The following is a 14,316-nucleotide window of genomic DNA, read 5'->3' as shown; positions in this document are numbered from 1 at the left end:
ACCAACCACCCCATTTCTCAAGACAGAGATTGAGGTGTTTAGCCATAATTCATCCCCTTCCCACATATGATCATCAGTGAACCTGATGGATCTGTCTAATAAATGCCTTCAACCTGACCATTTCTCACCCTCTCTACTAGCATGCCCATGGCTGTGCCTTCATGATATTCATCTGGATTAATGCAACTGCCCTCTCTATTCATACTCCAATCTAAGGGCCACATAGCAGCCGTGATTTCAGCATGCAAATCTTACAGTTCTAATTTACCCTGCATAAATAACTCTGTTGTTTACCTTTTTTTCCATGCACAGACACTCAGTCATTCCACTTTTTGATTTGGGATTCTGCTTTTCTGCTCTTGCTTCTGACCCCATGAGGTTTCTAAGGGGTTTTCCAAAAACAAAGGGAGCTTCCTTTTAGAGAGAAATTCTGGTAAATTTTTTTTGACTAATAAAGTGTTCATCTCATCAGAAATGGAAACAAATGGAAAAGGTCCTTTGAAAAGTGGAGAGATTTTTGACAACCTGAGATGCTCAGGGATCACGACACACAGAGAGATTACACATGAAACACAGGGCTGATGTTTGCAGGGGTCATAATGTTGGTTTGAAGACAAGTGAGTTTCTTTGGCTTAGCTGGGGGAAAGATGTGCATGTGTGGTATGTGGAGGATCCCTGGAAAGGTAAATTGAGGCCCTACTGCAGCTATCCTTCAATGCCTGACTCAGAAATTTGAATCTGGTTCAACACAAGAAGTTGGAAGCCACTGAAGAGATTTTGAGCTTGGATGGGATGCAGTGGATGTCGTGCTTTAGAAATACCAGGCTGACACTAGTGGCAGGGATGGACTGGGATGGATTGGGATCAGGGAGTCAGAAGGTAGGAAGGCGAAGAAAGAGTCTAATCCAGCTGTGCAGATGAGAAGCATTGAGAGTCTATGCTGGAATGGCAGCCTTGGGTCACTTTCATTTGCTTTAAATATTTTTATGCTGGAATAAATATCTGTTTTCATTGATCCAGTTCTTCCCTCTTGTTCAATATAGATGCCATTGGCCCTTTAGATCTTTCCTTTACACTAAACATTGCCAGATACTGCAGCCTTTCTCCATATGCCCTCCCATTTTCATCTGCCCCTCTGGAGGCCACCTGTTTATCAATGCCCTGTCTAAATTTCAGGGTCAGAATTAAGCCAATTTCTTACATGTGGTTTGCCTACCATAGACTCTCACAATTACTCTCTCCAAATAAGTCATATCAAATCTCTGCTCACCTCATTCAATGTGTTATCTATCTATCTATCTGTCTGTCTGTCTATCTATCTATCTATCTATCTATCTATCTATCTATCTATCTATCTATCTATCATCTATCATGTCCGTGAAAACAAATGATGGTTCTAAATGATCCCTTGCAAAGAAGTAAACATTCCCTGCTTTTCATTCATTTGTCATGGCAATTTAGGTGATTCTCTTTTGTCTGATTTTGCTTGTCCTTGCTTGTTGCTGAAAACCATCCTGTGTCTACTGTCTCCACTTTACATGTTATGAATCAAGTTTGTTTCAGCTTCAGAGAGCATCAGCAGTGTTTGCTAGATACACAATCTAGTGTTTTTGTAAATGTATTGTAACAAGTATTTATTGGATGCCTACTGCATCTAGACATCGTTCTAGGTGCCTGGGATATTTCCATGAACATAATATTACAGGTCCCTGCCCTCCATCCCCTGCTTTTCCATGACTTACTCTATGGATAACAGGTAGCAGCAAAGGAACATTTATTTTCACTACAATAATGATTTTAAGGCACTGATTCAAATGGAAGGCATTTCAAGGGCAGCAGATTCTGTAATATAAGAGTGAGAATTTCCTATCTTTATCTAGATTATCCTTGCAGTTGGCCCTCTCCTTCATTTAAATTTCACCATTACTGGGGAGGGGAAAGAGATGTTAGCTTGATTCCCATATGGAAATTAATTGATGTTCTTCCTCACACTGGCTGGATAATTTAAAAATTAATATACTGTGCTGACAGCAGTACCTAAAGATTATAGAGGCTGACTGGTGAGCTGCAGGCACTTGGATCTGTCAAGCAGAATAAGAAATAGATAAAGCTAAATTACAGAACTATTAAAAATAAATTAGTAATGTCAAAAAAGCAAATTAAGATGCAGATAATCAATCTAATTTCAGAGTCTCTGGTGAGTGTTAATGCTTAATTCTTCTTGTGTTTGATGAAGGCATCTATTAATTAAAAATATTTACATAAAAATGAGCCTGCATAAGGTCTTTATTTCAAGAAGAACCAACTTCAATTGATTTGACTCTCAGAAGATGGCCTTGATTTTTGTTATGAAAGGCAAGACCTGCCTTCACACAGTCTAAATCAGGGCCAATTTTCCTAAAGTATTTTTGCCAGCTGGAGAAAACATTTGCCTTCACTTTCCTTCACTTTTTGTTTCTCCACTTTCTCTTCTGGCTTCTTGTGACCAACTCCAAATGATCCATCCTGCTTCCTTCTACTCCATAATTGCTCTCCATGCAGAGGTTGCAGCTGAGCACCAAAGCAGAGAAGAGAGCTGTGTTCATTACAATTTTTGGAGAAGGAGAGAGGTCAAATAAGCAGAGAAGTCACAAGCTAGGAGAAAGGAAGGTGCACTTCTAGAAGGGAGGGAGCAGAGCAGGATTCAGATGCCCTGAGCAAAGGCATGTGGGGGAGTTACCGAAGCATTTGGAGTCCTGGGGGTGCCCTGTGGTGTTGAAAAAGCAAATTATGGTCCAGATAATCAGTCTAATTTTAGGGGGCTCTCTGGTGAGTTTAACAGTTAATTATTCTTGTGTTTGATGAAGGCATCTATTAATTAAAAATATTCATAAAGCTTGCACAAGGTCTTTATTTAAAAAGGAACAAATGTCAGTTGAAATAGAAAGCTGTGAGAATTCTGGATCTGATGAAAGAATGGGCTGTCGTATTATAATTGACTATCCTTTTGCTTCTGTCTACTCAATATATTGGGTAAGAGGATTGCTACACAGGTGTTGAAAGCACAGGCCAAATAAGTTTAGCCTTTCATATCCATTCCTCTTACCCAACCTCGGACAGGGGGTCAGAGAATAACTCCACAGGGGGGCCACACAGAGCTGTGTCCTGTGCACTAGGCCTTCTGCAGTTAAAGAAACTCACAGTCATGCAGCTCTGGAATAAATGCAGCAAAGGAGGCCAGTCCTGCTGCTATATCTCGTTGCCCTACTTTGTAGCAAAAATGGGATTGAGTCAGAGGCTGGAATCAAAGCAAATCTTCCCAGCCGGCTGCAAGTCGTGCTTGGGTCTAGCGCTTGCTAATAATATTGGTAGGAAGACTGGTGGAAAGCAACATGTAGATTTTTGGTCTTTTAAACTCATTTTTTAATTGAAAATGTTATACAATTCACAGGAAAAAGTTTTAAAACAACTTAAAAAAAAAGGATAGATATAGAATGAAAAGTCAGTCTTCCTTTATTCTCTCAGTCCAGGCCTGATTTCCATAAACAAAAAAGGGTTTGCACAGGAGACAGAAAGAGAAATAAATACGAAAAGTGACATGTTCCAACCAAACATTGAGCACCTGCAGCTCAGAGTGATCAGTGTCACAGGGTGAAATCAAGGTGGCAGAGGCTTTCATATTCTTCCAGGAACAAAGCACTGTCATCATAGCAGGGCATAGCTCTGGATTGGATGGACCCTGATCTGTGGCAGGGGCCTAGCACGTTTCTAGTCATCTTATATGGCAATGTTGTCGGGGAAAGGTCACCATCTAGTCATCTCATATGGCAATGTTGTCTGGGAAAGGTCACCATTTATTTCCATCAGCGGTCTCTAGGAAAGTGCTGGGCAAACCTTACTAGGCCACCTCTACCTGGATTCTTGTTCAGGGACTGCAGGCAACAGGCTTTTCCCACTCTGAGGGTTTGACGCCTGAGAATTTTCAGTTTAGCACTCTATTTTATACTTAGTGTATATAACAACAAAAATGAAAAATTCAGCAAATATTTATTGAAAGCCCGTTATGTTTCAGGCTTATATATATGTTTCAGCCTATTATATTTCAGGAACATATATATATATATATATTTCTCCAAGGCAGAATTGGTGGTCCCTATACCCCAGCACTACTGTACTTCCTCTTTTTTCTTAGCGTTTATCATACTGTATCTCTTTCTCTCTGTCCTCTCTCTCTCACTGTCTCTCTATGTATGTGTGTGTGTACGTGTGTGCATATATATATACATGTGTGTATATATATGCGTGTGTGTGTGTATATATATGCGTGTGTGTATGTATATATATACATGTATGTATATGTATGCATGTGCGTATGTGTATATATATATATATATATATACACACACACACGCACACACACACATTAGCACCTGATATGCTTTTCTGTTTTGTTTTATTCTCTCCTATCATCCTGATTTGCCTTCATGGGTCTGGAAGGGTTATTTTCTTTCTTTTACAGCACTCAATTTATTTGAGGGAAATGGCTTATTTTCTGGGTGGGTCACAGCCACTCTGTAAAGTCTAAGGATCTCAGGCTGCTCTGCCCACTCCTTTTCCAGATATTCTCTCTGAAGCGTGAGTCAATGCGGATGAACAGCATGGTTAGAATAACCCCAAAGATGAGCCACATGGCTGATGGGCCACAGCACTATTTTTATGTTTGTGTTATTTTTATGCCTCTTTATATGTGCATACATAAAAATAATGCTACTGCTTTGGGGCAGCTCTGAGATGTAAAGATATCTGCCAGGAGATTGGCAGATGACTCAAGAGCCTAAAACTTGTTTTATTCTGCAATTTCCCTGTGGCTTCCAAAGCGTTAGAGCAAAAGAGTAATAACATTTATGTCAGCTTGCAGGAAACATCCATCATCAATTTCTACCTAAAATTTAGATATGGCCCTAGCCTTTTTCTGCATTGTAAGGTATCTTGCAATACTGCTGAGGATAGGGGCAGTTATGTCAGACTGAACTGTGTCCTTACCTCCTGCTTTTTGCTGCTGTGACAGCTTCAGATATTTCTGCAGCTTTGCTGCTCCGGCCACTATGTACCCTTCAGTCGTTTATATCTGATGATTCCTAAAAAGAATTAACCGATTTAAGAAGCCCAGTGATTTCCCTTTGTCCCTTCAGATCCATTCCCTGTCCTTCCTTTGTCTTAGGAAGCTGACCAAGGTCAGAAGAAATGAGAACTGAGGTTGGTTTCAGTCCATTTCTGTGGTCTCCAGCTCACGTTTGTGAGTTTCCAGTTTGTTCTTGTCCTCCCTCACCTTCTAGCCATCCTCCCTCCCCAGCAGCCAGATGTTCTGTGGATTTCAACCTTCAACATCAGACTCAGACCTGTAACACACACACACACACACACACACACACACACACACACACACCCCTGATAGAGGGAGTGTCTCGACAGGAAATAAAGAGTGGGGCTTCAGGTTTACTTGAACTCTGTTTCTTGGCTGAAGCAAGGAATGGTCTCTTGACTTCTACCAAAGTTGGAGTCAGCAGCAACCAGACCTTCCTAGAATTCAAACCTGCCAGGAGTCCAGTTCATAGCTGGAATCATTCCCCGTCCTCATTTGCTGATGGTAGCAGGAGGGATTGATAATGTGGCTGAGCAGTCGGGGGCCAATTTGAGAAGTGGGATTCCCGGGTCTGCAGAAACTTACCAGGCACTTACCAGGGATGGAAACGGATGCATGTGTCCCCTCAGCACCTGCAACACACCGGACTCTGATTTCCTATTCTGGACAGACTTCAGGGTCCAATGCTGGACACAGAATAAAAGACAGCAATGGCAAGAGGGCAGTGTTCAGGGGCTCTCAGGACTGAACAAGCAGTGGGAACCTGACTTTCTACTGAGGTGCTGATACTCGCAATTACATATTTAAGAAACAGCCTCTTGTTTAAGTAGGGTAGAATAATGTATGGAGATATTCACCTTTCTTCTTTTCTTTTTTCACTGAATTTTCCCCCATCATGCGGGTGGCAGTTGCTTCAGAGGAGGGATGCCTAAGGCAGGGCCTGGAAACCAGAAATAGCCTGCAGATCTCCCAGGCTTTTGTGTCCTAAACCCTAGACTTCTAGGAAAAATTAAACATTCACAGTTAAGAAAAATACAGATGACCAGATCTTTCTTCCATCTTTAGACTAGAAAAGCATTTTCCTTTTTTCATGAATGAGAACAGGGAAAAATAGTGAGGAGGGTCTGTAGCTGCCCTCCCAGAAATGCTTCTGAAAACTGGCAAAGCCTTGAAGAGAAAGTGGCCATGCTGCACAGTTTGGAGAGGTCCTGGACAGCCTTGCAGGGGGGTTCCTGGATCCACCGTGTGGCTGATAGACAATTGAGGCCATTTGGCTTGAAAAGTCTCATTGACTAAGGGGAAGATCTAAAGCCTGAGAGCAAAGACATCCTCTCTGTCCACAGCTCTGCATCCTTCATTATGCCAAGACTCTACATAGTCAATATTTTGGCATAATGATAATGTAATAATAAGAGCTAGCCCTTAGGCTCACATACTATGTGCCAGCCACTTTACATATGTTAACTCATTTAATTGTCATGAAAACCTTATGCAGTGGCATTTTACACCCCAATTTACAGATGGGGAAGCTGAGGACACACAGCCAGGATTCTAACCTGAGCAGTTTGGCTCTAAGATCCATGCTTGAATTGTGATAGTCAAGGAAAGTGGTATTTCTTGTCCAGGCATAACCTCATACCAGCTAAATGAGTAACCAATATTTACAATGAATATATTTTATCTCGGTAATTCCACAAAAGAGAAAATGAGTACTCCTGGTCTACAGGTAAAAGAAAGAGGTGTATACTAAGATCTGCTCATAGTCTTTTGGCAGGCTGGCAGGGGTCATAAGTGAAGATTTAAGATTCTCAAACGAACCTGTCTGTGGCCTCAATAGTATCATGCTCTCAGCTAAGTGTCTGGAACATAATAAGCCCCCAATAAATATCAGTTGCCTTAATGATTATGATGATGATTATGGTTATTATCACCCCCAGAGAAGGCTGCACAGAACCAATTTCTTAGTACAGAATTGCTGCTCCTTGAGATCCGAATCCTAGTTTTACAGAATTAGACACGTCTGAGGTTATCACAGTGACTACTCCATCCCTGCCACGGGTGTCCTTGGTCCTTAATTCACTGCTCCCTCCTATTGAGGAGAAGCAAATTCTAATGATCTAAATTAAAAGTTTGGTGTACTAACCCTTTCAGAGGTATTTGCATTTAAACGGAGAGGGCAGTGCTTAAAAAAATGGAAGCATATTTAACAATGTAATGACAAGATTCCCTAAATATTTAATAGTGTAATAGAAGGATTTAATAGCTGTGATATGTCGAGGTGATCAGGCTTACTGTGCTCTTTCAGGTCTTACCCTTGACCCAGTGTTTGTTTCACACATTCCTTCATGTCCTCCTTATAGGTAAGCTGAAGCAGTATGGCCCAAGGGTTGAGATGCTGCTACATAAATATGGCCAAGCATGAGTATTGAGGTCAGAAAAATTTATTTGGCAATAAACACTCTAGAACATCATGACCTCATGAAGCCTGCTAGGAAGCAGCTCTGTTTCCCCAAATGAAAAGAGAGCCGGCCTGTTGTGTTTTTATCAAATAGGAGGTGCCAGTGCAGATAAACTTTGCCCACTTTGTATCCTAGAAGGTACAGATCTGTGTCATGGAAGGGACACTCACCCAAACATGTTTGTGCATTTAGAGAAGTGTCATCTTTGGAGAGGAATGCCATGAATGAATAAGTCTCAGTGATGTTAAATTCCCAGTGGACCACACACTGGTTGGTAAAGACCAGTTAATTTATTTGATCCAAATGAGGACAGGCAGTGTTAAATCATTCTCGTGGCATCTAGCACAGCACCTTAATCACACATGATGTTCAGTAAAGATTTATGGGGTCAGTGACTGTAATGCATAAGGCACAGGTACTAGAAAGATTGGCAAATACAAACTCAAGATGTCCTGAGTTCTATTCATAGCACAGCCCCCTGAACGGCTATATGACCTTGGCTCCATTTCTCAGTGTCTCTGTCCTTAGATGCTTCCTCTGTAAAATGAAAGGATGAGGCTAGATAATAAGCAGGGTCATTTCCAGCTAGACAGTGATGTAGAGGTACATTCTGTGCTTGGACATCTTCAAATGAAAGTGGAGAGTTAAATTACTCTTTGGAATCTAATGCCTCTCCCTTGGGTACATCCACCCTCTGATCAATGGCTTCTTGGTGACAGTCTCTTTCCATGTCCTGCCTCGAGTCTCCTGCAATGATCCACTGGGCAATGATCCAGTTATCACTTGCCGAGTCTCAGATGAAACTGTTTCCCGGCTTCCAATTTTGTTTCTACTATAAGTTTATGGGTGACAGATGATACAAAATTAATTCCCTTAGGTTCACTCATGTACCATATGCCTATTCAAACAACGAGTAGAAATGTAGAAATAGCATGGATTTTGGCGGCAAGCCTTGAATTATTTGTTTTGGAGGACATGTTCATAGATAGTAAGCTTCCTAAGGCTTCAATGTCTGCACTTAGACATTTTAATTTTCCATTTAAGTCTTTGAATCTTATTCATTTTGAATTTTCTTTTAGACAAAATGACCCATAATTATACGTCTTCTCTCATTCCACACCATCACCCAGTAAACAAATAGTCCAATGATATTAACGTTTCCCACTTAATATATTCTTTTCTGTTTATTAGTAGAAAAATGTTTAGTTTTAAATTTGATTTTGTATTAAACTCAGAGACATGGCATTGTTCAGCTATTTCTTCTCTGGAAAGAAAATGTTCAAATGTCAGGTCTTTGCGGAGTTTTCCTGACTATTTGGCTTGTGGCAGATATATGAGCAATTTGACCACTGTGGTTCTTTAACAGCCCATCTTAGAGGTGATAAATAAAATGAGTTGACATGAAATTCATCACCTTAATCTGTATCTGTGGGTTAATGGGAGACATTAAGCATGAGATGCCAAAGTGTTCCCAGTGTTTGACAATACTTGGCATGTGGGTGTCCATGACAAAGAGATGAAGCTGTCAATCAGTTTGTTTTAATGCTATTGGACAAATAGCCACACCACCTACCTGTCTGAACACAGCTACCCTCATGGAAAATCAATGAACTGGGCCTCAGTAGCCACGAAAATTAGCATAGCTCCACAAGCTAGGGCCAAGGATCATCTCAGATTAGCTTAGACAACTAGAGAGGAGAGCAAGCAAGGGCTGGGTTAGTCCAGGAAGTTGACTGGTGGTTCTTTTGGGGTTTTCTATAAGTTACAGATGCTTCTCAGATGCAACAATAATAAAGCCTTCTTGAGCTTTTTTTTTTTTTTTAATATTTGAACATGATAAAATGCATTGCTTTGGTTGACCTTTATGTTGGTGCAGGCAAGAGCCACAGAGCGAGAGGTATGGTGTTGAAGAGTGGCTTTCCCTGGGGTTCCTCAATGTGGCCCTGAAGGAATAATAGTAGAGCTTCAACTTCACCCTTCCATGTCCTGCATCATGGCTTGCCAACTCTAAATGGCCGCACAAGTCTACAAGCTGAAGTCATTGTCTGTGGAACAATAATGCCTGGCTGACCATGTTAGAGCCTATTGAGGGACTGAAATGAAATGACTTATAAAAACTGCTAAGAGATTTAGAAAAGTGCAATAAAGAATAAGAGTCTGTTTGGGGTGTTTAGAATCTCACTGTGGTGTTAACATGCAGAAGTACCAGTTATAGCTGGTCAATTAACCCCATATTTTCACCCAAACCGTTTGTCCTTTTGTGTTCTCCTCTCAGAAGATGGCACAGGCTAAAATATGGAAATTGTCCTAGACCTATCCATCTACCTCAGGCTAAAATATGGAATATGCCACATAGTCAATCACATACCAAAGCCTACTGTAAAATATGCCCTTATTAGCCTCCACTCCTTTCTATCTCTCTGATTTTATTTCCTTTAGCTTAGATTTTTTTCCAGAAGCTCTCATCTCTATCCTCAATACTCTATTATAGCTACACTGATGACTTTACATGCACACCTAATCATATTTCTCCCTATTCAACACCAACTCTTGATTGCTCAAAGAGCAAACCCAAACTTCCTAACAAGGCTTAGGAGGCCCTTTATAATCTCAACTCCCTTAGCCCTCCCATTTCTTCTCTTCTTACTCCTGTCTCATAACGCCAAAGCCCTGTGTTTCAGCCACAAGAAATAGCTGCAGTACCTGGAAGGCACTACAATCTCTCTCACCTCCAGCTTTTTTTTTTTTTCTTGGAGTACTCTTTACTGCCATTGACAGAGCTCACTCCTATCAGTCTTCCAGGATTCAGTGTAGCTGTCCAGGAACTTTTCCCCAGTCATCTAAATCAGTGTCAGGGTTTCCTCCCACATGAGTCCTCAGTAAAATCTATCAAAGCACTCATTACACTTTATTTGCTTTCAAACTCTCTCATTTAAATGTAGCATTCATGCAGAAAAGTGCATAACTCATAGTGCATGGCTTACTTATCCTGAAGTGAAGCTACCCGTATGATCACCACTCAGGCCAAGAAGCTGAACATAACCAGGACCTCAGAAGACCTCTTAAGGCTTTCTTCCAATCCATACAATTCCTCTTTCCCAAAAGTAATCATCAATCTTGACTTCTAATATTATAGTTACATTTGTCTGCTTTAGAACTTCGTACAAATGGAATTGGGCACTATAAATACTTTTATTTCTGATTTCTCTTACTCAATAGTGTGTCTGTGAATTTTTTCCATGTTGTGTGTAGCTGTAGCTCTTTTATTTTCATTATTGCATAGTATTCCATTGTATGAGTAAAGTACTATGTGTCCATTCATTCCCCTGTGGTTAGACATTTGTGTTGTTTCTGGATTTTGGTTTTTGCAAATAATAGTGCTCTGAACATTTTTATGCTCCTGCCTTTTGGTGAAAATATACACTCATTTCTCTTGGGTACATATTTGAGAAATGTACAGTAGGCATGAATCTGGCTTTAAGTATATACTACCCCAAATTTCCAAAATGATCTTGCTAATTTGCTCTCTCTGACAGTGTACGTAGATTATAATTGTTTCCCATTATTGTCAACAATGGGCATTGCCAGTAGTGAGTCATTCTGGTGGTTGTATAGTGGTGTCTTCACTGTGGTTATCATTTCCTTTTTGTGCTTTACAAATGTTTATTGGTCATATAGTTGTCCTGTTTTGTAAATACCAGTTGAAGTCTTTTGCTCATTTATCTATTGGAGCATCTTTTTTATTCTTATTAATTTGTAGGAGTGATTTGTCAGGTACATGTAATAAAAATATAGTTTCCCACTGTGTGGCTTACTTTCTTACTCTTTTAATTGTGTCTTTTGGTGAACAGAAGTTCTTATTTTTAATGTTATCCAATTGATTAGCTGTTTCCTCTATGGTCATTACTCTTTCGCTTTGTTTAAGAAAACTATCTCTAGTTGGAAGTAGACAAGATAGTTTTGGACACATTTTTCTAGAGACTTTTTTTTTTCTCTTTCGCACATATATCAACAATCTATCAGGAATTGTTTTTCATGTATATCCCGCTGCATTTTACTTACCTGTTAGTTGCCTGTCTCTCCAACTAGGCTGTAAAGAGCTAGGAGGAAGAATGTGAATTGCAGCTTCCTAACCTCCAACAGGGGGAAATATCTGTGTGATGTTTAGGTTTCTGCCACTCTTAAGCAGTAGAACTTTTTCTTACTTTTAGTTAGTTTTTCTCTCTGAGTTTAAAAACTTTTTCAGATTCAGTGAAAATTGCATCCTAATGTGTTATTTAAGAAAACATATGCACCACTCCTTCGCCATTGTGATGCTCTTTCACTGTTGGGATGGTTGTCTTGTTGCACATGGTATGTTTTATTTTTGTGGTTGTTAATGTCCTTTTCAAATCCATGCTAAGAAATTTGGAGCAGAAAACGGTATGACATTTATTTAAATTATTTACTTTAATAATTGTTTCCCAGCAGTTATTGATTTAACCTTTTCTCCTTTTAATTATATATATTTTTAAAAAATAGATGGCATATCCTTATCATTCAAACATCAAATATACACATTGAGAAATCTTTTTTTTACCTCTGTTCAGATCAACCCACTACTCCTTTTCCACAATGGTCTACCACTTTTGTGGATTTCTCATGTGCCATACGCTGGTTTATTTATATGCAGGGGGAAGCTGCATAGCAACCAAGGGTGAATGACCTGATAGCAAACACAACAGGTGATCTGGAAAAACACTTATTGGGAGAGAAACTTACAGAGACATAACAGGTTAGTGCCTGTGTGGTCCCCCATTATTCTGTGGGATAGCAGACAAGGATCCTGAAAGGTCAGTTGTCAGATTTCGGGATTAGGTCTCCAGCCAGTAGGTGGTGGGGTACATGGATCCCCTCCACTGACACCATCAGAGGGCTAGGGTCCAAATCTTGTGGCTGAAGCTATGTGACAATAGTTAATTGCTCTACATCAGGACCAAGTGTTCTACCTCAGTCCTTTCCAGGATTAATTGCCTTAAGCGGACAATTTTCATGGAGCCCTACAGAGGTTATTACCTTTTCTGAGGAGCCAGCCCACAGGGAATCAATAGAATTAAACGTTATATCTCAGCTCACCCCTTATCACAGGGACAGATGCTTTGCATAATTACCCTCTCAGTCAGGAACCCATATCATTTTAATCTGTAAGATCATGAGGCTAGTCTCTAGTATTGCTATAGGAGATACTGGACTATGGTTATGATGTAAATAAGAAAATGGGAGCCATGAGTAACACCTGAGGCCCTCTCCCAACAGAGAGGCTCAGAAAGCCCAACCCAAGCCCAGAGGACAGGTTCCAGGTTGCTGAGAGCTCTAGACAATCCTTCTTCCTGCTCCCATGTATGGGGCACTGAATGTTCCAGCTCCCCACTGGTGCTGATGCAGATGCAGGTGGTGCATTGGTCCAGGCTAAGATGCTCCCTATCTGGCCAAAAGATAATTAAATTATGTTGTTTAAGATGAGCCTAGAATTTAGGTTAATTTTCTGGATCTTTGAGGCATGGGGGATCTTGTTGGCTACTTGGCCTTGGTGTCTGACAGATCCTATATTATGTCATCAGCACAATTATCCCCCATCTCGGAATTAGGCCACAACCAAGATTATAGAGTGCTATGTTGCCTACTGGGACAACCATGAATGTACATTGCTCAGATATCTCTACAAGAAAAAACTGCTGAAAGGAATGCAAATAGCTAACAGCCTACTGTAGCACCTTCAAGATCTCCTGCAGCATCTGAGCTGAGAGCACACTGTTCCCAAGCTGCCTCCAGTCATTGTCTACATGCTGCGGAGGGACTAGGGTCTGGGCTTTTCTATTTATTGAGAGACTCTTCTACAGTCATTCTTTGCATTGGAGCTCCCCACTGCGATGCCTAAGACTTTCTCAGAGCTGCATCACAGTTGTAGCCTCTTTCTGTGTTATCCTCCTTTCTCTCCCTTCTCCATTCATGGCATCAGGCCTGAATAATGGTCCAAAGGCTTTCTCTCACCCTTTTATATTTCACAGTTTTTACCTCAATAAATCCCTGAAGCTTCTACTCCTGTTTTCGTGTCTTCTTTCTGAAGGTCCTTAATTGGCAAGCATATACCAGGAGGATTATTCTTTCACACTTGGGCCAGAGGGATGCATAGGGTCCTAGAAGACGTTGTAGGAAAATTTGAAATGACTAGTTGACCGTCTGAACCCTGGGCTCAGATTTTGTTCAACTCAGGTAGAAAAGGATAGGCTGTTGATCCATGGGGGGATAACAGCTCAGGGGAACTACATTTCCCAGCCTGAAAAGTGTCATGTATAGTCATAAGGATCAATCAAGTCAGTGGCCCTTTTCCTCATTGGTGAACCTAAGCAGTGAGTGGAGTTGGCCATAGTCAGTGTCTGAAGCTACAAACCAGAGGTTAAGACTATTGAATTCAGGTATTCAGAATTGGTCTTAGCCTTTTTTACTTATTAGGGATACCGTGTCATACTAGAAGGAGGGGAGATTTCATTGGCATATATGCTTGGCCTTGGGATCTAAGATGCTTATTAGACAATTGAATTTACTGGCAAGTAATGAGTGATGTGCCTCAATAGAATATTTCAGAACATGGGAGATACTGGAAACAGTATTTTAGAAGATGTGGGAATAGCTGTCAACTCTTCCCAAAGATCCAACATAGTATGGCAGATGCAACAGCAAACAGTGAGAGGCCCT

At 40.7% G+C, this 14,316-nt stretch overlaps 1 long non-coding RNA gene across 1 annotated transcript in view; it reads left to right on the top strand.

Moving 5' to 3' along the window:
• LINC01722 (long intergenic non-protein coding RNA 1722) overlaps nt 1-13,655 on the top strand; it is an 87,316-nt gene extending 73,661 nt beyond the window's left edge. The window contains exons 11-12 of the long non-coding RNA NR_109868.1: nt 12,254-12,355; nt 13,182-13,655. This is a non-coding gene — a long non-coding RNA (long intergenic non-protein coding RNA 1722). The remainder of the gene's footprint in view (nt 1-12,253; nt 12,356-13,181) is intronic.
• Nucleotides 13,656-14,316: the final 661 nt, after the last annotated feature.

Source organism: Homo sapiens, chromosome 20 (assembly GCF_000001405.40).
Source record: "Homo sapiens chromosome 20, GRCh38.p14 Primary Assembly".
Taxonomy (NCBI): domain Eukaryota; kingdom Metazoa; phylum Chordata; class Mammalia; order Primates; family Hominidae; genus Homo; species Homo sapiens.
This window is presented reverse-complemented; position numbering and strand designations above follow the sequence as displayed.